This window comes from Homo sapiens, chromosome 3, assembly GCF_000001405.40.
Source record: "Homo sapiens chromosome 3, GRCh38.p14 Primary Assembly".
Taxonomy (NCBI): Eukaryota; Metazoa; Chordata; class Mammalia; order Primates; family Hominidae; genus Homo; species Homo sapiens.
The window spans coordinates 84636701-84662076 of NC_000003.12; the positions used below are offsets into that span (position 1 = coordinate 84636701).

General features: G+C 36.3%; 1 long non-coding RNA gene across 1 annotated transcript in view; it reads right to left on the bottom strand.

The window, feature by feature from the left end:
• Nucleotides 1–1704: 1704 nt before the first annotated feature.
• LINC00971 (long intergenic non-protein coding RNA 971) overlaps nucleotides 1705–25376 on the bottom strand; it is a 231171-nt gene continuing 207499 nt past the window's right edge. Inside the window, exons 20-21 of the long non-coding RNA NR_033860.1 lie at nucleotides 7513–7586; nucleotides 1705–2512 (exon numbers count right to left, since the gene is read on the bottom strand). This is a non-coding gene — a long non-coding RNA (long intergenic non-protein coding RNA 971). The remainder of the gene's footprint in view (nucleotides 2513–7512; nucleotides 7587–25376) is intronic.

Here is a 25376-nt window from a genome sequence, read left to right on the forward strand (position 1 = left end):
ATTTTCTTATCATTCTGGAGGCTATGAAGTTCAAGATCGAAGTGCTGGGTCTAGTGAGGGCCTTCTTCCTGCATCCTCACCAGGCATACAACAGAAGGGCAGGTTCCCAAACACTCCATGCTTATTTTATAAGGTTTTTAATCCCATTTATGAGGAAGAGGCCCTCATGTCATAATTACCTCCTAAAGGCTCCACTTCTTAATACTACCACATCAACCACACCTGAATTTTGAAGGGAACATATTCTAACCATAGCGGGAATACATTGCAAAATGAGGTTCTTATTTTATTTTTCTCCAAAAGGTTAATCAATTGCTAGACAAGCATTTGTGAAATAATCCTTTATTTCCCACCCCACCGTTTTTTAATGTTTCCAGCATATTAGTTATATTTTACTGATCTCTTTACACATAATCACTAGTATACTACAATTTCAACACCCTTGCCTTGCAAACAGTTAGTGGCTATGACTATCTTGCTTACTGTTACAGCTTTAGAACCCAGAAGGCACTCAATAAGTATTTTTAAATTATGAATGAGGTGGGAGTTACTGTCATGAGAAACTAGAGAAATTGAAGAGTTTATCTGTGGACTGGCTATGTAACAAGTCAGAGCCTTTGCCTAGATAACTGTTTGGCCACCAAGTCCAGACTTCTTAAATGTTCAACAATGGTCTCAACCAGGAAAATGACATACCAGATAAGAAATATTCATTTTTAAGAAACTTGAGGTAATACTAGGAAAATAAAGTTTTCTCCAAGAGAAGGGTGTTGCAATCTTCACCACCTGCTGGTTAACCGCATTGCTTAGGAAACATGACAAAGTGAATGTGATGTTTCTTTAAGAATAGCAGATAGCCAGTAGTACTGTTTCTAATATTGTGGTGTGCACTTCTCTGCCTTAGAATACAGTGATGCGTTGAGTAACTCCTGAACCTAGTCATTAAGGACTTTGTTGGACCTCGCTATGATATCCTGTACTCCAAAGGTCAAAGTTTAGATCTGGAAGTAGAAAAGCTAAAGGATATGGGACTGATGTCACTGAATCCAGTCTATCCCCCAAATTAAATCTCCAATTTCTAATACAAGCTTGTTTTGTTTTGTTGTTGTTGTTGTTGTTGTTGTTTGGTCACATTTACCATATAAACCTGGCCAAATACTGTTCCTAGATTAGCCTTTTTTGTTTTCCTCTCCCTGACCCTCCTTACTATCCTTTATTATACTACTTATGCGAGTATACAGTGATGTCTGTGTGTGCAGTTTCCTCAGGTTTAACTTCTAAAGATTAGGGACTGTGTGTAGCATAAGATGTTATACAGGAAATATTTTAATAAATGTTTATTGAACTCAATTAGTCCTGTCATATAATATTGGAACAGCAAAATAAATTTTTTAAATGAAGGTTCCAGTGAATTACATCTCAATCATTGAATTATAGACTCTAAGAGTTTAAAAAAGTCCTCTTCCAATACTTGAAATTTCATTTCAAATCTTTGTTTCTAATAGTGACCCAAACTCTATTTGACCATATAATGATGAGAAGCTTTTGACCTCTGGAATAGCTTATTTCAATACCGGTAAGCTCAGAGTTTAAAAATTCCACCTTTAGATTGGCAAAAACACATCATTCTTTAGCTCCTACCCAGAACAAGTCTGTGAATTTTTCCTTCTTATGACAACCATTTAAACATATCAAGACAGCTCATGTTTCCTACATCTTTTATTCTTCAGAAAATAAACATTCCCAGTCTTCCAATGTCTTAATAGTGTGGGGTTTTGACTTCTTTCTTCATTCTTCAAAGGTCACCTGAGCACTACAGAATCAGGCAGGACTGTAACCACCACCCTCAACCTTGTCCTTCATTCTCTATTATATTTAAACCAAATCACACAGCTCATACCATGGTCACTGTGAGATGGCTTTAGCACATTGTGAACTAAACCCCCTAAATCCTTTGTATATAATAGGATTCTAAAGTGAGCCTGTCCACCTTTAACTAGAAGCCATGCAAATGGACTTTTTTAGACCAAAGTGAAGAGTTGGTTTATACCCATTAAGTTTTACATGGTTTGATCTGTACATTGTTCCAGCCATGCCAAGATATCTGGGAATCCTGGTCTGTCATCCATTGTGATTACCTGTCTTCCCTGATTTTTATCACCTCCATACTGGAAGGCCTTATCTTCATCCACTCATTCCAGAGCCAGCACCAGATGTCCTGACTGGATAAGCCTTTTTTGAGGACCATTTCCTTGATGCTTTCAAAGTACTTTATACTGAGGTGAAGTAAGACACTATGAAGTATTGAAACCACACATTGCGTCACTATCAGCCCGCATAGCTGTAACGGGGGGGAAGCATGTTGGTACCAGAGGCCCAGCTCTTCTCTGTCACCATTTCCTGCTACATGGTCTCTACAGCCATCTCCAGGTACTCCCATCTTGAAGATACATTGACTTCTGTGGGCCTCTGTCTTGAGATGGATGGCATTTAGGACGGATCCATCAGTAACCTGTGTGAGAAACGGGAAATCAACTCAGCACATTGCCTACGTGTTCTTAGGAAAAAAAAAAACTATTTTAAATAAACTCTCCAATCGATCTAATTGTATATGATATGGCTAAGGGAGGATTACTTAGCAAAGCATGCCCAGGTCCAAACAAATACCAACCAGTCCTTCCACAATATGTTTTGAAAAAAAGAATTATTTCCCATTTGGATAAGCAAAATTATTACATTTCTCAGTTCCTGTGTGTCTAGATGATACCTTGAAGCTGATTTCTGACCAGTGAGGTGCTGGTAAAAATGATTCATGCCACATTCCTGCTACACCCAATAATGTCCTTCACAGTCTCCCATATGCTCTCCTTACTCACACAGCTGGACATGAAGGGCTAAGATATGAAGAGCCAGGAGAGGGAAAGAGCACAGACTTTGAGGTTACTGCCTGGAACAAGGTTGCCAAAAATGCACCTGATCAAGGAAATCTGCAATAGATTTGCTTGAACTGGAAATAAACCTTTAGGATTATAGTACATGTATGGAATTTGTTCATTCCAGCAAGAAAACCCTCACTAACACAATTAGTATAAACTTAGTGTTAAAGAAAGATAATTCTGACACTTGTTAAAAACCGTAAAGACTTTATTCAGTATTATTGCAATGCGAGTTGCAATAAGGGAGAGCGATAGGGCTCAACTATGAATATAACAATGACAAGTGGAGATTTATAGCCAAGGAGCAGGGTGAGGGGAGGCAGTGGATGAAGAATCACTAAGAGGCAATATGAAAGGTAAGGGGATTCTTACCAAACTCACCTAATAGTTTTCCTTCTTTTTTTTTATTATTATTATACTTTAAGTTTTAGGATACATGTGCACATTGTGCAGGTTAGTTACATATGTATACATGTGCCATGCTGGTGTGCTGCACCCACTAACTCGTCATCTAGCATTAGGTATATCTCCCAATGCTATCTCTCCCCCCTCCCCCCACCCCACAACAGTCCCCAGAATGTGATGTTCCCCTTCCTGTGTCCATGTGATCTCATTGTTCAATTCCCACCTACCAGTGAGAATGCGCAGTGCTTGGTTTTTTGTTCTTGCGATAGTTTACTGAGAATGACGATTTCCAATTTCATCCATGTCCCTACAAAGGACATGAACTCTTCATTTTTTATGGCTGCATAGTATTCCATGGTGTATATGTGCCACTTTTTCTTAATCCACTCTTTCATTGTTGGACATATGGGTTGGTTCCAAGTCTTTGCTATTGTGAATAATGCCGCAATAAACATACGTGTGCATGTGTCTTTATAGCAGCATGATTTATAGTCCTTTAGGTATATACCCAGTAACGGGATGGCTGGGTCAAATGGTATTTCTAGTTCTAGATCCCTGAGGAATCGCCACACTGACTTCCACAATGGTTGAACTAGTTTACAGTCCCACCAACAGTGTAAAAGTGTTCCTATTTCTCCACATCCTCTCCAGCACCTGTTGTTTCCTGACTTTTTAATGTTTGCCATTCTAACTGGTGTGAGATTGCATCTGATTGTGGTTTTGATTTGCATTTCTCTGATGGCCAGTGGTGATGAGCATTTTTTCATGTGTTTTTTGGCTGCATAAATGTCTTCTTTTGAGAAGTGTCTGTTCATATCCTTCGCCCACTTTTTGATTAGCTTTCCTTCTAAAAGCAAGCCAAAACTTATACATCAAAGGTAGGGGATAAGGAACTTGATCAGACACGAAGGGTGATCAGACACCAAGACTAGCGGGTTGATATAGCAGGACTCTCTGCTAAAACTGGGCTGAGGAGGTCAAAGACATGATGGGTGAAGGTAAAGGCTTGGTTGAAAAGAGGGCTTCAAAGAGCCAAACTGAAATTTGGTCAAGAAAAGACTTTGCCATTAGCAGTGAGTAATGCCAGTCAACACTGCAAATTGTGATTGGTATTATAAACTTTCTGACTTAAATAGTAGATAATGTGAAGGAATGGACTTTTCTTTTTGAACACTTTTGTCTAATCTCCCATTCTCTCACCCACTCCTATAAAATCTCTTTCATTTAAATAAATAAATAGAAAACTAAAAAGACTTGTCTAAGTAGTATCTGTTTTTGTGTAATAAGAAGTCAACAGTTTAGGGGCTTTTAAAATAAATATCTAGAATGTCTTATAATATTATGAAAATAGATAAAATAATCTAATCTGGAATTTTAATATGTAATATTTTAATATCTGCAAAAATTGCTTTTAAAGTTTTGTTTTTTCCCCTGAAGACTTATCACAAACTTGTTCTGCTTTACAAGATGCAATACAAGACAAGTTAACATAACTATACTTTCGCAAAAACATATTCCATAGATGAGGTGCTCTAATAAAGTCACATTTTGTATTACATTTCATTGGAATCAAGAAAATATAAAGAAAAGTGAATTAAGGCACAGGAGAAACAATACGGCTTTCACGTTTTGCTTATGGGAGCATGATATTTGTAACTGCTAGAAAACTACCCCAAAAATGCTTTTTGATTACTTTCAAATCCACTGGTTTGCTACAAGGGTACATAATTTATAAGATCAAGATATCATAACGAATACCATAAGAGATGATAGTTTATGAAGAAAAACTAGCAAGCCAATGAAAAAATATCAGAATTTATGCTTCTAAAAAATAAACGTAGAAAGAAAGGATGGAATAAGGTACAGTGGTGTCTCATTTGTATCCTCTTAGATACAAATATAAGAGGAAGTATATTAAAAGTATCTATCCCTGCGGTGAAGACTTGTCAATTTTGAAAACTTATCTAGATACTGTCAAAAAAATAATAAAGTTACCTTTTTCTCATGAGGTTTACAGTCACACATGACTTAACAGAGAAACATTCCAATAAATGTTTCATTAGGCGATATTGTCATTGTGAGTACATAATAGAGTATACTTACATAAACCTAGAGAGCACAGCCTACTACACACCTAGGCTATATGATATAGCTGATTGCTCCTAGGCTACAAGCCTATACAACATGTTACTGTACAAAAAACTGTACGCAATTTTCACACAGTGGTAAGTATTTGTGTATTTAAACATATCTAAACACAGAAAAGGTACAGTAAAAATATGGCATTATAATCTTATGATACCATCATCGTATATACGATCTGCCATTGATCAAAATCTCATTTTGCAGTGCATGACTGTCTATTGTAAACAGATATTTTCTCTAGTTAATTTTGAATAATTTAATACACAATCAATATTTGTATTAGTAAAATATTATGTTGCAAAAAGCTCTAACATTCATCATTTTCTATTATCTGTCATGTGATATTGCATTATAACAAAACAATTAAGAAGCAAAGAAACAAGGTGGGAATTGGAAGGAAAATTATTGCACAAAAATTTTTAAATAACAGAATTGTTAGAGGAAAAACTAGTAATATATCATTTGTATTTGAAAATGCACTACAACCGAATCAGAACCATATTTTCTACCTAGAGGTGGAATTTCAGTGTTAGAGAGATAAGAGATAAAGACAGAGACTAAAAAACTCTCTTTTGCCATCACATAGGCCAGTGATGCAGAAGGACAAAGAGTAGTAGCAATCAGATGAAAAGAAATTATGTATTTGTTGTATAGCTTTGATTTTCCCAACAAGAGAGACTGCTATTGCAAATGGTTTGATTTTCTCGGAGGTCAAAAGCAGAAAGTAGTAGTACAGATTGAAGAAATAAGGAATACTGGAGAAAGTTACAGTGTTAATGGTAACAACTATAATGACTTTATAATTTTACCAATTTAACTTAGTTTTGGCAATTTTAAAACCATCAAAACTCATGCATAATAGAATTACATACATCAGTAAGCAAGTGCACATCCCCAATATTGACACAAAACCCTAGAAACTAAGAAACACTTCAAGATAAATGCTACATAAAGTTCATTGAATTTTTTCTTGATTTTCCAGCCAGGTATTTTTACTTTTGTAAAAATGACAGTGAATTAGGCATCAAAGATACAAAAAAATCCTTAGAATATTTCTGCAAAAGAATATAATTTCTTGTGACTCTGTTCACTACATGATGTGAAGAAACTAAATAAACAGCATTTTAAACATTGAATTATCAATGTAAAGTGACTGGTTTAAATAACAAGACCTGTGTTCCACATGGCAGTATACTGCCACAAATGGATACAGCTCCACAAGTGCATTTCATTATTTGAGTTCTGAAAAACTATTAAAGTAGTTGCTGACAATTTCATTTTTGCCTACAATACTTGTTGCTGGCTCTGTTTTCATATACTAAGACACTGAAAGATCATTCCATCATATTCACTGCTTTTCAAGCCAATAATAATTAATAAATTTAATTATGTTAATTTAATATTAAAAGAAACTCATTCTGTACAATAATTTCTACCAGTATCACCACATTAAAGGTGTTTTTTTGTTTGACTCTATTTTAGTATTTATGTGCTTTATGGATAGCATACTTTATTAAATTTCATAAGAGAATCATACTTCCTATATGACACACACTTCTGTAAGAATATAGGACAATACCACAAACAGGATTTAATAAAAATCATGGCACAATATTCTTCTATGGGATTTCATCTAGGATAAATCAATTTGCTGTACACTATAGAATATTTGGCTATGGCTATAAATTCGTCTTTTAAGAATTTTGGTGACAGGCATCATCTTGGCTAGTGCTCGTTGGTGCTAGCTTTCTTTCACTCTTTCTACATACAGATGTGGAATACAGAAATACAAAAATACTTCAGATTTAGAAGTGTACTTCAGGCCGGGTGCGGTGGCTCAAGCCTGTAATCCCAGCATTTTGGAAGGCTGAGGCCAGTGGATCACCTGAGGTCAGGAGTTTGAGACCAGACTGGCCAACATGGTGAAATCACATCTCTACTAAAAATACAAAAATTAGCCAGGCATGGTGGTGGGTGCCTGTAATACCAGCTACTGGGGAGGCAGAGGCAAGAGAATTGATTCAACCTGGGAGGTGGAGGTTGCAGGGAGCTGAGGTCGTGCCACTGTCCTCCAGCCTGGGTGATAGAGTGAGACTCCATCTAAAAAAAAATAATAATAATAAACATTTATTTCAGATTACTCATAGACTTTTAGTAAGTCATCTATAAACAACCTTTTAAATTTAGATATAGCAGGTCTTATGTCAGAACAAACTTTAGACTAGGTAAAGCTGGAAAATAATATATTCTATCCCATCCTCTAGCTCTTCAAGCTATCTACCATTTTGGTTATCTAAATTAATTTACCTATTGCAAAAGACCATGGAAAAGAGCTTGGATATTTTCTTTCTTTGGCCTTAACCAATCAAGAAGAAAGGAATTCTTTACTGAGTAATTTTTCCATCCTGACAAGGTTTGATTTTCTAAATAGCTACCATAATTGATTTAAGTACAATATTGTACCCACATAGGAGAAGAAACTAAAACTGAGCCAGATTTAGATGATGTAGGTTAGGCATTACCAAGAAGTTGCACCTGAGACTGATTCTATGCCTCCGTTTCCTCATCTATTAAATGTCAATAACAAAATAACCTGCATCAGAGAGCATCAATTAAGGAACAATGGTGTAAAGTGCTTATATTACCTGGCACAAATTAAGCATGCTACAGATGTTTTTGCTCATTATTTCCTATTTGTTTATTCAAACTTTGGTACTTTTTTTTTAAGTTCAAAGAATTCAATTTCTCATTATTTAAAATGTTTCCATTCTTTTATACTTGCAACATGTCTTCTAGCCTCAATTAATGAATTGAAAAAATAAAACAGAAAAGAGTTTAAGATGTATTGAATTATATGAAAATTTCTTTAAGTGCCAATTAAAGTAGCAAAGAGAGTTGGTATAGCATATATTGATTTTTTAAAAAAGAATGAGTAGGTGTTTGTGTACTGAAAAGACAGAAAGGCCATTGAGGGTAGAAAAGAAAGTCATAGAGATACATTTTGTAGTTAAGAACATAAAAATGTGAGATCTCAGAAGGTAGAAGACTACATTGCAAATACAGATAAATACATTACTTGTGGGGCATGCAAAGCAGGTAAGCTTCATTATATAAACAAGCTAAAGTATAATTATAAAAACACAAATTGTATCAAGCATTTAACATGTACCAATTGTGGGAGCAAGTGCTTATGCTATTAAATACTTGAAACAATCTTATGAGCTAAATGCAGTTGTTAGTCACCACTCACTAAACTGTAAAGCTGAGGTTTAGACAAACTATTCATTTGCTTCTGCTGCCAAAGCCTTTATTTGAACATAGGCAAGTAGAATCCAGACCTTTTGTTCTTAAACACTGCAATATTCTACAATTTTAATAAATCATATTTTTATATTATAATGTAAAATACAAATTGTCCAAAGACGCTGACTTACTGTGATTACTTAGTAATATTTAATTGTGAAAATCAAATTTTAGCTTGGACTCTAATTAGCATAAATGTATCTTTAAAGTACTGAAAATGTCTCATGAATTTTTTTTTTATATCATAGCTTTGTTGCTGACATTCCATAGCACATTTCTGTTACCTTTTGCGGTCTTATTTTTTATGTGAAATTCAAATATAATAGATACTCTGAAAGTTTCTATTCCAAGTTTTGTTTTATTTTTAACTAGAATTAAATAAATTAAATATGTCTTTATCAGCTCATATGTCAATACTTTTAAGAATGATACTTTTTTTTTTTTTTCAGGCGGAGTCTCGCTCTGTCACCCAGGCTGGAGTGCAGACGCTCATTGCAAGCTCCGCCTCCCGGGTTCATGCCATTCTCCTGCCTCAGCCTCCCCAGTAGCTGGGACTACAAGCGCCCACCACCACGACCGGCTAATTTTGTTTCTATAATTTTAGTAGAGATGGGGTTTCACCGTGTTAGCCAGTATGGTCTCGATCTCCTGAACTTGTGATCCACCCGCCTCAGCCTCCCAAAGTGCTGGGATTACAGGCGTGATCCACCACGCCCGGCGAATGATACATATTTTTTAATGGGCAATTTGGCAGTGGCTATCAAAACCAAATTACATATGTTATGTACACATACATATCTGATTCTCTATTTTTTTTTTTAATTTCAACTTTTATTTTAGATAGAGGGGCATATGTGCAGATTTGTTACCTGGGGATATTGTGTGATGCTGAGATTTAGATCCTGTCACCCAGCTAGTGAATGTATATCTGATAAGAAGTTTTTAACCCACTTCCCTTCCTTCTACCCTCCAGCATTACGCAGTGTCTATTGTTTCCATATTTATGTCCATGTGTGCTCAATGTTTAGCTCCCACTTTTGGTTTTATGTTCCTGCATTAATTTGCATAGGATTGTGGGCTCCCACTTCATTCATGTTACTGCAAAGGACATGATTTTATTCTATTTATGGCTGCATGGTATCCCATGGTGTATATACCACATTTTCTTTATCCTATCTACCATTGAGGAGCACCTGGGTTGATTCCATGTCTTTGCTATTGTTAATAGTACAGTGATGAACATACAAGTGCATGTGTCTTTAAGAATATAAATCATTCTACCAACAACAGGACATATGCACTCATGTTGATCACTGCACTATTCACAGTATCAAAGATATGGAATTACTTCTAGGTATTTATGCATACAAACCATATCCAAATGGTATATTGATTTTGGTTTGCTCAACTCAACTTTATGCCTAATATTAAATGATAAGATTTACCTATTCTCTAGCCTTTACAATGCTAGAGTCCATGACCTAAAACCAATACAAAAGACTTTGGGATCAGACTCAGCTGAATTCAAATCTAAGATCTGACATTTATTCAATTTGGCTATGACTGTAATTTCAGAAAAGTATTAAATTTACTTAATGCCCAGCTTTCTTGTTTTTACACTGCAAATAATAATACTTAGATCATATGTTTCCAGTGAGGATTATAAGATGTAGTATTAAAATGCTGAATGCATTGCCAGATATAATAGAGTTTCAGAAAAGAGTACTGCCAATGTCATTCGTATGGTTATTGTTACTGCTGTTATCACTAAGATGTGGTCAGCTTTTCCCTCTCCCAAAGTCACCTATCCTAGTTCCCTTGATCATTGATGTTCATATGCTTCCAGATTTTCTATGTTATTGTGGAAAATTAAAAAAAAAAGCCATTCTCTCTTTAAGCGCTCTCACCAGGGAATATCTGTTTACTAGTAGTTAACTGACCATGGTGTATATGTAATACCCAAACTCCTACTAGGAGGGATGCTCTTGAGGGAATGTTCTGTAGTATATCCAATGTTCTCAGTATAGTGAAAAACGTGAAGCAAAAGCCTTCTGAGACTTAAGCTAGAGTTTTCTTTAAACAATTTAGGATCAAAGTAATACACTAATATGGTTTGGCTGTGTCCCCACCCAAATCTCATCTTGAATTGTAGCTCTCATAATTTCTACGTATTACGGGAAGGACCCGGTGAAAGATAATTGAATCATGGGGGCAGTTTCTCCCATACTGTTGTCATGGAAGTGAAGAGGTTTCATGAGATCTGAGGTCTTTATAAGGGGAAACACTTTTGCTTGGTTCTCATTCTCTCTGTTGCCTGCTGTGCTGTGAGACATGACTATCACCTTCTGCCATGATGGTGAGGCATCCCCAGCCACATGGAACTGTGAGTCCAAGAAACCTCTTTTTCTTTATAAATACCCAGCCTCAGGTATGTCTTTATTAGCAGTGTGAGAATGCACTATTATATAATTTAAAGAACTGCCTGTTCATGCCAACCCCTACATCTCCAAGCTCCAGTACTACCACCACAGCCCCAAGCTTCAGTGAACCCAGGGACCAGCTCTGCCCCAGTAGACCACAGCACCTAGCCAGTTCCCAAAAACTCAGGCTCCATACCCACCACCATGGACCCCAGGTGTATTAATTCATTTCCACACTTCTAAAAAGAACTGTCTGAGACTGGGTAATTTATTTAAAAAAATAAAAGGAGGTTTAATTGACTCACAGTTACACATGGCTGGGGTTGGCCTCAGGAAACTTACCATCATGATGCTAGACAAAGGGAAAGCAAGGCACGTCTTACATGGCAGCAGGTGAGAGAGAGAGCAGGGTAAACTGCCACTTATAAAACATCAGATCTTGTGAGAACTCACTATCACAAGAAGTCCATGGGGAAAACCACTCCCACGATCCAGTCACCTCCCACCAGGTCCCTCATTTGACACATGGGAATTATGGGAATTATAATTGAAGATGAGATGTGGGTCAGGGCACAGAGCAAAACCATACTGCCAGGACACAGGCTTAACTCATGGTCCCAGACACAAAGCCCATGACTGTGGACCTCAGCACCAGGCCAGAATGTGGACTCATGGTCAGAACTGTTCTTATGAAATAATATGGCAGGCCCACTCTAGTATCAGGCCAGTCTCCATGGCTCCAGGCTCAGAGATTTCCAGGGTTCAAGCCTACTCCAGTGGACCAAGGGTTGAGGCCTAAAACAGTAGACCCCAGTGCCAGGCTTTAGGCTTTACCCCACAGATCCATGCTCCAGGCCTATCCCTATGGAACCGGGTTCCAAGTCTAGCCCATTGTCCCGGTATGCAACCTACCCATTGAACCTCAGTTCCAAGCCAGCAAAATGAATAAAAATGAATAATAACTGCTTATGAGATTTCTGAGACAGAATCAAAAGAGCAAAATTTTAAATTATAAGAGTATAAGGAGGAGAAGACAAAGAAAAAAAGCCAGAAAATTTATTTAAGTAAACACTAGAAGAAAACTTTGCAAATGTGGGGAAACACATAAGTATTCAGATACAGAAAGGTCAAAAGTCTCCAATTATATTCAATTCAAACAAGACCATAGCAAGACAATTTATAATCAAACTGTCTAAAGCCAAAGACAGGCTGGGTATGGTGGCTCATGCCTGTAATCCCAGCACTTTGGGAGGCTGAGGCAGGCAGATCATTTGAGGCCAGGAGTTCGAGACCAAACTGGCCAATATGGCAAGACCATGTCTCTACTAAAAATACAACAACAACAAAAAAAAATTAGCTGGGCATAGTGGCGCAAACTTGTAATCACAACTACCCAGGAGGCTGACGTATGAAAATTGCTTGAACCTAAGAGGCAGAAGTTGCAGTGAGCCAAGATTTTGTCACTGCACTCCAGCATGGGCAACAGAGCAAGACACTGTTTCAATAATAATAATAATAACAATAACAACAATAAAGTCAAAGACAAAGACAGGATTCTGAAAGCAGAAATACAAAAGATGCAAATGACATGTAAAGGAGTTCCAATAAGACTAACAGTGGTTTTCTCAGCAGACATTTTAAAAGGCCAGAGATAATGGGATGATATATCTAAAATGCTAAAGGTTAAAAAAAAAAAAAAAAGCATCAACCAAGAATATGTTACACAGCAAATCTGTCCTTCTGAAATGAAGGACAGATAAATGCTTTCCCAGACCACCAAGAGCTGAAGGAGTTCATTACCAACAGACCTACCTTACAAATAGTAAAGAAGTTTTTTTTCAACAAAACGAATGAAAAAAATGCTAACTAGGTGCCAGGTGCAGTGGCTAATGCCTGTAATCCCAGCACTTTGGGACATCACGATGTCAGGAGACTGCGACCATCCTGGTCAACATGGTGAAACCCCGTCTCTACTAAAAATACAAAAAAAATTTGCTGGTGTGGTGGTGCGTACCTGTAGTCCCAGCTACTCAGGAGGTCGAGGCAGGAGAATCATTGGAACCTGGAAGATGGAGGTTGCAGTGAGTCAAGATCATGCCACTGCACTCCAGCCTGACAACAGAGTGAGACTTGGCCTCAAAAAAACAAAAAAGAATGCTAACTAGAAAACTAAAAACTTTTATACTAAAGTACAAAACTCACTGGTAAAAGTACATAGTCAAATTCAGAATATTCTAATACTGTAATAGTGGTGTATAAGTTAGTTATATCCTTAGCATAAAGGTTAAAAGATAAAACTACTGAAAAGAATAATAGCTACATAACTTGATAAAGAAGACACCATAGAAAAATACATGAATTGTGTGGGGGAGGGGGGAGGGATAGCATTGGGAGATATACCTAATGCTAGATGACGAGTTAGTGGGTGCAGCGCACCAGCATGGCACATGTATACATATGTAACTAACCTGCACAATGTGCACATGTACCCTAAAACTTAAAGTATAATAAAAAAAAAGAAAAATACATGAGTTGTGAAATCAAAAATATAAAATGTGAGGGTAGGGAAGGGTAAAAATGTTGAGTTTGTTTTTGTTTACTTTGAGACAGGGCTGCATTCTGTTGCTCAGGTTGGAGTGCAGTGGCACAATTATAACTCACTGCAGCATTCAACTTCTGGGCTAAGGTGACCCTGTCTCCTAAGTAGCTAGGACCAAAGAAGGAGTGTATCACCATGACTGGCTAACTTTCTTTTTTGTAAAAATAGGGTCTCACTATGTTGCCCAGGCTGGTCTCAAACCCTGGCCTTTAGCAATCTTCCTGCTTCAGCCTCCCAAGGTGCTGAGATTACAACCATTAGTCACCATACCCAGTGGAGATTTTTTTTTAATGTGACCAGCATTAGGTTGCTATCAGCTTACAACAGTCTGTTAAGGTTATGTACGATTAAAAGATGTTTTACATATGCCTCATGGAAACCACAAAGAAAAAACCTGTAATAGATACACAAAAGATAAAAAGTAAGTAATCAAAGCATATCACCAGAGAAAATGACCTCATCTTAAAGGAAGACAATAAGAGAGGAGAAGCAACAAAACAACCAGAAACCAATTAATACAATATAAATATTAAATCCTTACCTATCAATAATAACTTTACATGTAAATGGATTAAATTCTTCAAACAAAAGAAATAGAGTGGGTGAATGGTGAAAAAAAAATCAACTATATGTTCCCTGTAAGACTTTAGTTTTAATGACACACACAGGCAGAAAGTGAAGAAATAGAGAAAGATATCCCATTCAAATAGTAAGCAAAAGAGATCCAGAGTGGCTATGACTGTTTCAGACAAAATAGAATTTAAGTCAACATTTTTCATAAGACACAAAAAGGTCATTATATAAAGGAGTCAATTTATCAATAAGCTCCAATAATTTTAGATATACATGCACCTAACATTGGAGCAGCTAAAGATATAAAGAAAGTATTAACAGAACTTAAGGGAAGTTAGATAGAAAGACAGTAATATTAGTAGTAGGAAGTCTCAATATCCCAATTTCAACAATAGTCAGACCATTCATACAGAAAATAAGGAAAACAGTTAACTTGAACAACACTTTAGACATAATGGACTTAAAAAACACATATTGGCAATTCCCTACAACTGCTGCAGCATACGCATTCTTTACAGATGAACATATAACTTCACTGGGAGAGATCATATGTCAGGAAACAAGTTTTAAAAATTTAAGATTGAAATCGTATCAAGTATGCTTTTAGACCACAATTATATGGAACTAGCAATCAATAGCAAGAGAAAAATTGTAAAATTTACAAAAATGTAGAAATTAAACAAGACACACATGACTAAACAATGGGTTACAAAAGAAACCAAATAGAAAATAAAATATATTACAAAGCAAATGAAAATGGAAAAGCAACAGTGCAGAACTTACAGGTTACAGTGAAAGCGATTCAAACAGGGAGATTCATGAAAACAAACACATATATTAAGAAAAAAGAAAGCTCTCAAATAAACAGCAGAACTATACACCTCAGGAAACTAGAAAAACAATAACAAGTGAAGATCAAAGTTGTTAGAAGAAACAAAATAATAAAGATCAGAGCAGAAATCGAATAAGATAAAAAATTAAAAATTATAGGAAAAATAATGAAACTGAGTTGGCTTCTTTTGAAAACATATACAAATTCTGAAACCTTTATTTAGACAAATAAAAAAGTAAAGAAGACACAAATAAATATATGAAGAAATGAAACAGTAGACATCCCAATTGATGTAACAGAAATACAAAGGATAATAAAATACCATGAACAATTATACACCACAAACTGGATAATGTAGGAGAAATGAATACATTCCTATAAACTTACAATGTACAAAGACTGAATCATAAAAAACCCAGAAATTCTGAAAAGAACAATAAATGTAAGGCGATTGAATGAGTATTCAAAACCCAATCAATGAAGAAAATTCGAGGGCTTAATAGCTTCACTGGTAAATTCTAGCAAACATCTAAAGAAGAATTAATGTTAATTGTTCTAAAACATTTCAATAACATTGAAGGAAATGAACACTTACAAACTAGTTCTATAAGACTAGCATTACCCTGATACTAAAGCCAGGAAGAAGAATACAAGAAAATAAAATTACAGGCTAATAACCCTGAAAAACATAGGTGCGAAAAACCTCAACAAGGTATTAGCAAACCTTTCTCAACAGCACATTAAAAGGATCACATGCCATGATCGGGTAAGATTTAGCTCTTGAATGAAAAGATGTTTCAATATGCACAAATCAATCAATATGATATAGCACCTTAATTAGCAGAATGAAGGGTAATAATTATATGACCATTTCAATAAATGTAGAAAATGCATTTGACGAAATCTGAAATATTTTCATGATTAAGAAATCATGATATCTTAGATATAGAAGAAGTGTACCTCAACATAATAAAGGCCATATATGATAAGCCCACAGCTAACATTATACTCAATTGTGCATATCTAAAAGAATTTCCTATCGTCAGAAACAAGGCAAAGATACTCGCTTTCATGACTTCTTTTGCATGTTGTACTAGAAATCCTAGCTAGAGCAATTAAAACAAAATATATCCAAATTCTAAAGGAGGAAGTAAAATTATCTCTATTTGCAGAAGACATAATGTTATATATAGAAAAGCTTAAAGATAACACCAAAAATCTGTCAGAACTAATAAAAAATTTGTAAACTGATAGAAACAACTAATACATAATATATATAATAAAAATAATCAGAAGAAATTGTATACCTTATCTGAAAAAGAAATCAAGAAAATAATCCCATTCACCATAGCAGCAAAAAGAATAAAATAATTAGGAATAAATTTAACCAAGGAGGTGAAAGGACTGTACACTGAAAATTATAAAACATCAATGAAAGAAATTGAAGACAAATAAATGGAAAGACATCTCCTATTTATATCAAAAATAGTTAATATTGTTAAAAATGACCATACTACTCAAATTGATCTACAACTTCAATGCACTCTCTATCAAAGTCTTAATGGCACTCATTACAGAAATGTAAAAAATAATCCTCAGTAAACTATCGCAAGAACAAAAAACCAAACACCGCATATTCTCACTCATAGGTGGGAATTGAACAATGAGATCACATGGTCACAGGAAGGGGAATATCACACTCTGGGGACTGTGGTGGGGTGGGGGGAGGGGGGAGGGGTAGCACTGGGAGATATACCTAATGCTAGATGACGAGTTAGTGGGTGCAGCGCACCAGCATGGCACATGTATACATATGTAACTAACCTGCACAATGTGCACATGTACCCTAAAACTTAAAGTATAATAAAAAAAAGAAACTTACTAAATGACAAAAAAAAATAATAATAATAATCCTAAATTTCACACTGAACCACAGAAGACCCCCAATAGCCATAGCAATATTAAGCACACAGAATAAAGCTGGAGGCATAACACTACTTGATTTCACAGTATTACTACAAAGCTGTAGTAATCAAAACAATGTGGTATTGGCATAAAAACAAACTCATATATCAATGGAACAGAATGCTAAGCTCAATAATAAACTCATGCATTTACAGTCTAACCGGTCTTTGACAAATATGCTAAGAACACACAATGGATAAAGAATATTCTCTTCAGTAGTTGGTGTTGAGAAAACTAGATGTACATATGCAGTAGAATAAAATAGGATACTTATCTCCCACCATCAACTCAAAATGAATTAAGGCTTAAATATAAGACGTGAAACTGAAACTACTAGAAGAAAACAGGAAAAAGTTTATTGACCTTGATTTGGACAAAAAATTTTTGGATATAACCTGAAAAGCACAAACAGCAAAAGTGAAAAAGACAAACGAGACTATCAAACTGAAAAAGCGTCTGCACAGCAAAGGAAACAATCACCAAAGTAAGAGATAATATACAGTTGGAAGAAAACATTTGTGAACCATACATCTGATGAGTAGTTAATGTCTAAAATATATAAGAAACTTAACACATTAGCAAGAAAACAACCCAATTAAAAACAAGCAAAGATTCTAAATAGACATTTCTCAGAAGAAGACATAGGAGTGGCCAACAGGTATGTGAAAATAAAATGTTCGATGTCACTAATCACCAAGGATATGTAAACTAAAACCACAGTGATATAGAACACCATACCTGTTAGAATGAATAAAATTTTTTAAAATAAAAAGGTAAGATAAGTGTTGGCAAGGATGGGGAGCAAAGGGATCTCTTGTAGATTGTTGATGGAAATGTAAATTTTTACTAACATTCTGAGTATGAAGAAATGTGTAAAGAAGAGTGTGAAGGTTCCTCAAAAAACTAAAAAGAGTGGGCAAAGGACATGAACAGACAATTTTCAAAAGAAGACATACAATAGCGATAAACATACAGAAAAACACTCAACATCACTAATCACCGGAGAAATACATAGTGAACCACAATGAAATATCATCTTATGCCAATCAGTATGACTATTATTAAAAAGTCAAGAAAGAATAGATGTTAGAGAGGATGCAGAGAAAGGGACACTTTACACTGCTGGTGGGAATGTAAATTAGTATTAGTACAAACTTTATAGCAAAATATACAGATTTCTCAAAGAACAAAAATAGAGCTAAAATTGGATCCAACAATTCCACTACTGGGTATCTATCCAAAGGAAAAAAAAAACACATTATTTTAAAAAGATGCTGGTACTTGTGTGTTTACTGAAGCATTATTTACAATAGCAAAGATATGGAATCAACCTAAGTATCCATCAATGGATGAATGGATAAAGAAACTGGTCTGTATACACAATATAATATTATTAAGCTGTAAATAAAGAATAAAATCATGTCTTTTGCAGCAATATGAATGGAACTGGAGGCCATATCTTAAGATAAACTACTCAGAAACAGAAAATCAAATACTGTATGATCTCACTTACAAGTGGGAGCTAAATAATGTGTGCATATGGATATAGAGTGTGGAATAATAGACACTAGAGACACAGAAAGGTGAAGGTGGAAGGGAGATAAAGGATGAGCAATTACTTAATGGACACTATGTACATTATCCAGGAGATGGTGACATTAAATGCCCAGACTTTCACCACTACATAATATATCCATTTAGCAAAACTGCACTTGTACACCTTAAATTTATGCAAAACAATTTACAATGGAACTATAATATTACACAGCAATCCCACTTCTGAGTATATATCCAAAGGAAATTAAATCAGCATCTTGATGAGATATCTGCACTTCCATTTTCATTGCAGCATTATATATGGAATCAATATATGTGTCCATACTTTGAAGAAAGGGTGTGTATGTGTGTATATATATCCCATATACATATGCACGTGCGCACACACACACACACACACACACAGTGAGACAGTTTTTAAAAAGATGGAAATCCTACCATTTGCAATCAGAGGATTAACCTGAATGACACTGTGCTAAGTGAAATGAAGCAAGCACCCAAACACTAATACTGTATGATGTCATTTATATATGCAGTCTAAAAAACTGAAACTTATAGGACAGTAGAATGGTGGTAGGCAGTGTCGGAGGGTGGGAGAAGGCGGGTGATGTTAGTTAAAGGGTATAAAGTTTCAATCATGTAGGATGAGTAAGTTCTGGAGATATACAACAAGGTGACTACAGTTGATAATATTTCATGTATTCTATACATAAAACTTGCTTAGAGTGTAGATCTCAAATATTCTCACCACAGAAAAGTAACAATGTGCGGTGATAAATATGTTAACTAGCTTTATTGTGGTTATCATTTTACAATGTATGCATATATCAAAGCCTCACATTGTAAACTGTAAATATATACAGTTTTTGACAATTACACCTCAATAAAACTGAAGAGATACAAAAGAAACTATATGTTATCCCAGTTGCATCAAATGGGATAATTTTTTTTATAAGACTGACATATTCTAGAATATGTGATGCTACACAGGGTTTTCTCTGAAAACTTACTGCTTTTTAGACAATGTTGATATCTCTCAGTAGAAGGAAGAAATGGCATTTTTCCAGAGATCAGAGTTTAAAAGAAAATATTCAGATTTTACTGACATATAGAGTTAAAGGGGGGAAGAACAAATACTGGCTGTTTTGCTTCTCTGCCAAATATTTGAGTCTTATGATTTTCCTCAAAATATGGGTGTTAAAAGAACATCTGGAATTAGAAAATGGAACAAAAACATGTAAGTATAATTATTATCTTTTTTTTCAAATTGAAAACTTTTCTTATCAAAAACCTTCTTCACCTATCATTAGTAACCATGCTTAAAGCCGATTGAGAAGGCTTGATTCTTGAATAAATTTATACATAACTGATACATAAAATTTTTAAACAATTTTTAATTTATCCAAATTTTCTCAAAAATATACAAGTTATAGGTATATGAATGTTTATATTTGTGTATATTTACTGATATGGTTTGGATCTTTGTGCCCACCAAATCTCATGTTGAATTGCAGTCCTCAGTGTTAAAGGTGGGGCCTGGTGGGAGATGACTGGATCATGGTGATACAGTTCTCATGAATGGGTGAGCACCATCCTCTCCATGCTGTTCTGATGATAGTGAATGAGTGAGTTAACATGAGATCTGGTTGTTTAAAAGTGTGTAGCACCTCCCTGTGCTCTCTCTTGGTCCTGTTCCTGCAATATAAGATGCCTGCTCCCACTTTGCCTTCCACCATGAGTAACAGTTTCCTTAGGCCTCCCCAGAAGCAGATGCTGCCAGGCTTTCTGTACAGTCTGCAGAACCATGAGCCAATTAAACCTCTTTTCTTTATAAATTACCCTGTCTCAGGTTATTTCTTTTTTTTTTATACTTTAAGTTTTAGGGTACATGTGCACAATGTGCAGGTTAGTTACATATGTATACATGTGACATGCTGGTGCGCTGCACCCACTAACTCATCATCTAGCATTAGGTATATCTCCCAATGCTATCCCCTCCCCCTCCCCCCACCCCACAACAGTCCCCAGAGTGTGATGTTCCCCTTCCTGTGTCCATGTGTTCTCATTGTTCAATTCCCACCTATGAGTGAGAATATGCGGTGTTTGGTTTTTTGTTCTTGCGATAGTTTACTGAGAATGATGATTTCCAATTTCATCCATGTCCCTACAAAGGACATGAATTTCTTCATGCAGTGTAAGAACTAATATAAAAAATTAGTGCCAAGAGGTGGGGCATTGCTATAAAGATAGCTGAAATTATGGAAGCAGCTTTGGGACTGGGTAATGGGCAGAGGTTGGAAGAGGGTGGAGGGATCAGAATAAGGTGGAAAGATTAGGGGAAGTTTGGAACTTCCTAGATACTAGTCAAATTGTTGTGACCAAACATGCTGAGAGTGATATGAACAATGAAGTAGAGGCTGAGGAGGTCACAGATGGAAAAGAGGAACTTATTGGGAATCGGAACAAACGTCACTTTTGTCATGCTTTAGCAAATAGCCAGGGTTCAATGTGCCCCTGCCCAAGGGATCTATAGAACCTTGAACTTCAGAGTGAACATTTAGGGTATCTAGTGGAAGCAATTTCTAAGCAAAGTGTCAAGATGTGGCCTAGCTACCTCTAACAGGCTATGCCCATACGTATGAACAACAACAACAACAACAATGATGTAAAACTGGAACTTATATTTAAAAGGGATGAAGACCACACAACTTTGGAAAATTTGTAGCCCAGCATGTGAAAGAAAACCCCATTTTCAGGGGAGGAATTCAACCAGGCTAAATAAATTTGCATAAGTAAAGAGGATCCAATTGCTGATAGCCAAGATATTGGAGAAAAGCCTTGAAGGAATTTCAGGGACCTTTGTGGCAGCCCCTCCCATCATAGACCTCAAAGCCTAGGAAGACAGAATGGTTTCCTGGGTCAAGCTCTGGTTCCTATCACCCCATACTGCCCTACATAGCCTCTGGACACTCCTCCCTGTACCCCAGCCACTCCAAATCCAGCCATGGCTAAAAGGGGCCCAGGTACAGTTCTTGCTGCTGTTTCAGAGGGTGCAAGCAGTAAGCCTTCACAGCACCCACATGGTATTAATCCTGCAGGTGCATAGAGTGCAAGAGTTGAGATTTGGGAGTCTCTGCCTAGATTTTGGAGAATATATGGAAAAGCCTGGATGTCCAGGCGAATGTCTGCTGCAGGGGTGGAGACCTCATGGAGAATCTCTACTAGGGCAGTGCAGAGGGGAAATGTAGGGTTGGAGCTCCCACACAGAATGACCACTGGGGTGTTGCCTAGTGGAGCTGTGAGAAGAGAGCCACCATCCTCCAGACCACAGAGTGGTAGATCCACCAGCAGCTTTTGCACCCTCAGCCTCAAAGAATGGCAGGCAGTCAATGCCAACCCTTTAAAGCAGCCACAGAGGCTGAACCCTGGAAAGCCATGGGGCAGAGCTGCCCAAAACTTTGGGATCCAAGTCCTTTCATCAATGTGCCCTAGATGTGGGAGACAGAGTCAAAGGAGTCTGTTTTTGGAGCTTTAAGATTTAATGACTACTCTACTAAATTTAGGACTTGCATGGGGCCTGTAGCCCTTCTCTTTTGGCTAATGCCTCCCTTTTGGAGCAAGAGTATTTACCCAAAGCTTGTTACCCCCCATTGCATCTTGGAAGCAACTAGTTGTCGATTTTATAGGTTCATAGGTGAAAGAGATTTGCTTTGTCTCAGATGAGACTTTGGACTTTAGACTTTGGAGTTAATATTGGAATGAATTAAGACGTTGCGAGGTTTGAGACCATTGAAAAGAGATACTTACATTTGGCAGTGAGTTATATGAGATCTGGTTGTTTTAAAGTGTTTAAACCACCCCCCACCCCTTGGTCTTGCTCCTGCCATGTAAGACACCTGCTCCACTTTGCCTTCCACAATCAGTAAAAGTTCCCTGAGGCCTGCCCAGAAGCAGATGCTGCCATGCTTCCTGTGCAGCCTGCAGAACTGCGAGACAACTAAACTCTTTTCTTTATAAATTACTATAAATAGTCTTTATAGCAGTGTAGTTCTTTATAGCAGTGCAAGAATTGACTAATATACTTACACACACACACACATATATATATATTTACTTACACGAAATATACACTTTTAAAAATCCCAGGTTATTTTTTATTTTCCTTTTACCTTATTCAAATTCCATTTTCTTTCTTTGATTCAACATAGTCCCACTCATTCACCTTCTGTCATATTTCTAGTTAAGTATACATATCATTACTGTAACTATCTTAATCCTGAAAAATAAATTCTCACAACTACTCTCATAGATTTTGAGAGAGTGAATTCTTCAAATGTCAGTCATCAGCTCTGTATTTAAAATATCTCACCTGACAATCACTAAAATTCCAATTCTTACTTTGGTTCAACTTCATTTATGATAACATAGGACATTATTAATAAGTAAAGGGTAATGCTACACTTTTTATTCAAATGTGCCAATGTCTATCCAGATCAATGGAACCTCCCAAAAGTGAACCCCTAATATCAAGCAGGAATTAAACCTGCTTGAATAGTAATGCACAGAGGTTAGGTTTCCTGTGTTAGGCTAGCAAGAGAGCCAAGAGAAGTCCTCCAGGGTGGCATTCATTACTTTAACAAATTTGCTGTGGTCAAAGTTCTGCCCTTCAGTACTGCAGATACATAAACCTGGTTTTGTCAGCACATACAGAGAGTGTCCATCTCTCAGGACCAGCTATTGAGCAAGCTCACGTGACTGATGCATAAAAGCAGAAAGTCAATTGTTCTGTGCAATAAAGTGCAATGGGTTCTTAACCCTCCTTTTGGCTACTACTCTTTGTTGTTTGTTTTCCACTTTTAATCAAATGATTCCTGCTTACTACAAGTGCAAGTGCAATTTCTTCCACCCCATAGTCTGCTGGCTGTTTATAGAATGGAAAGTGGAATCAAAGTATCCCCCAACTTTGTTGCCCACCCCCTTTAAGAATGTTTTCAGGGTTTATGAGTGAATTACTCTAAAGGTTTTTTTCATATGCACAAATCTTTTGGATGGAAAAGATAGGAAACCAGCCCTCTAAATTTAAAAAAAGTGCATACAAATAAAATCAAATTTAAAGAGGAAATGAAAAGAAGCAAAACATTGCTTAGAAATTCTCAAACCCTGAACGTTTAATGACTGTCTAAATCTTTCCTGGGTCTACCCTGTGCACTGAACACATGACCTCTGCTTTCTTGTGCCATTGAACAAAATATTTCCAAAAAACTGCCTTGCAACATTTCTGAACTTGACCCCAAATGGACTTTTTAGAGGGCTCACAGACCATCAGTTACTCTGATCAGAGTCAAGAGATCACATGTTTAATAATAGATATTTACCCTATGAGCCATGGTAGCCAAAGCCAATTTCTCATGATACCTGCAAAAACAAAGAGATTGACTAGAAAATGCCTGTATAGTACTGCAATGATTCACACAAGCTTGCCCAAGGACAGACCTATGATAAAACATTAGCTAATGGAAAATAAAAATCACTGATGCTCTGATGTCAAGTCAGAGACTAAAAGCCACCAGTGAATACCAGTGAATTCTTTACATGATATAAGACTCTTCACCAGCAAAGATTTCAAGCAATTCATGTTTTTTAAGTCTTTATCACTCAACTAGAGACCTTCCTTGGAATCTGTTCTGGTGGCAAGGCCATGTTTCTCAAGTTGCCCAGGAAACTGTCAGTTTTTGTCTGTGATCCTGGCAAAAGTATTAATTATGGTCAGTTCTCTCAAAACCATACTAGTTTCAAAAAGTAAACAATATTGTTTCTTACCTATAGGACCAAACCCAGAACCAATAGCTGAGAACTACGTTCTTTGTTTAGAATATATTTCTGTTCAAAATGCCATGCTTTCTTAGAAAAAAAAAAAAAACAAATTCCTACTAACATAGCTGTATTGTCAGCTTTATCTCTCATCTAGAGGGTGCATTTATTGCATAACTGTCCAACTTGCATCCTCCTTTTAAGGAGTTCCATTTAGCTTAGGATAATGTACAAGACTCTTAAAAACGTCAGAAAAGCCTTGAAATGTCAATTCCAGGTCAGCTTGTCCAGATCTTATACAACTTTCACTTTTGCACACGTGACTTCAGCCACTATGGCTTTCTGCTAATCTCTTTTAAGCTAAGCTCACTGTTGTCACATGGTCTTTGCATATACTGAATGAAATGATTACTGTTTTCTCCTCACTTACAAGTAGTAATTCTATGCATTTTTCAGATCTCAATTCAATTATCATTTAAGAAGTCTTCCTTGACTTCACTGAATGAATATTCATATCTAAAATTATTCATCTCTATTGTACAAAGTACATAGTCATCACTATTGGCACTTTTTACATATGATTATGACTCCTGAATATAATTTTGTCATTTTCACTAAACTGAGAACTTCATGAAAGCAAAACCTGGCAAGTTTTGGAGACTACAAGTCCCCAGGATCTATTTCTACACCAGACATATATTAATACTTTTTTATTATTATTATACTTTAAGTTTTAGGGTACATGTGCACAATGTGCAGGTTAGTTGCATATGTATACATGTGCCATGTTGGTGAGCTGCACCCATTAACACATCATTTAACATTAGGTA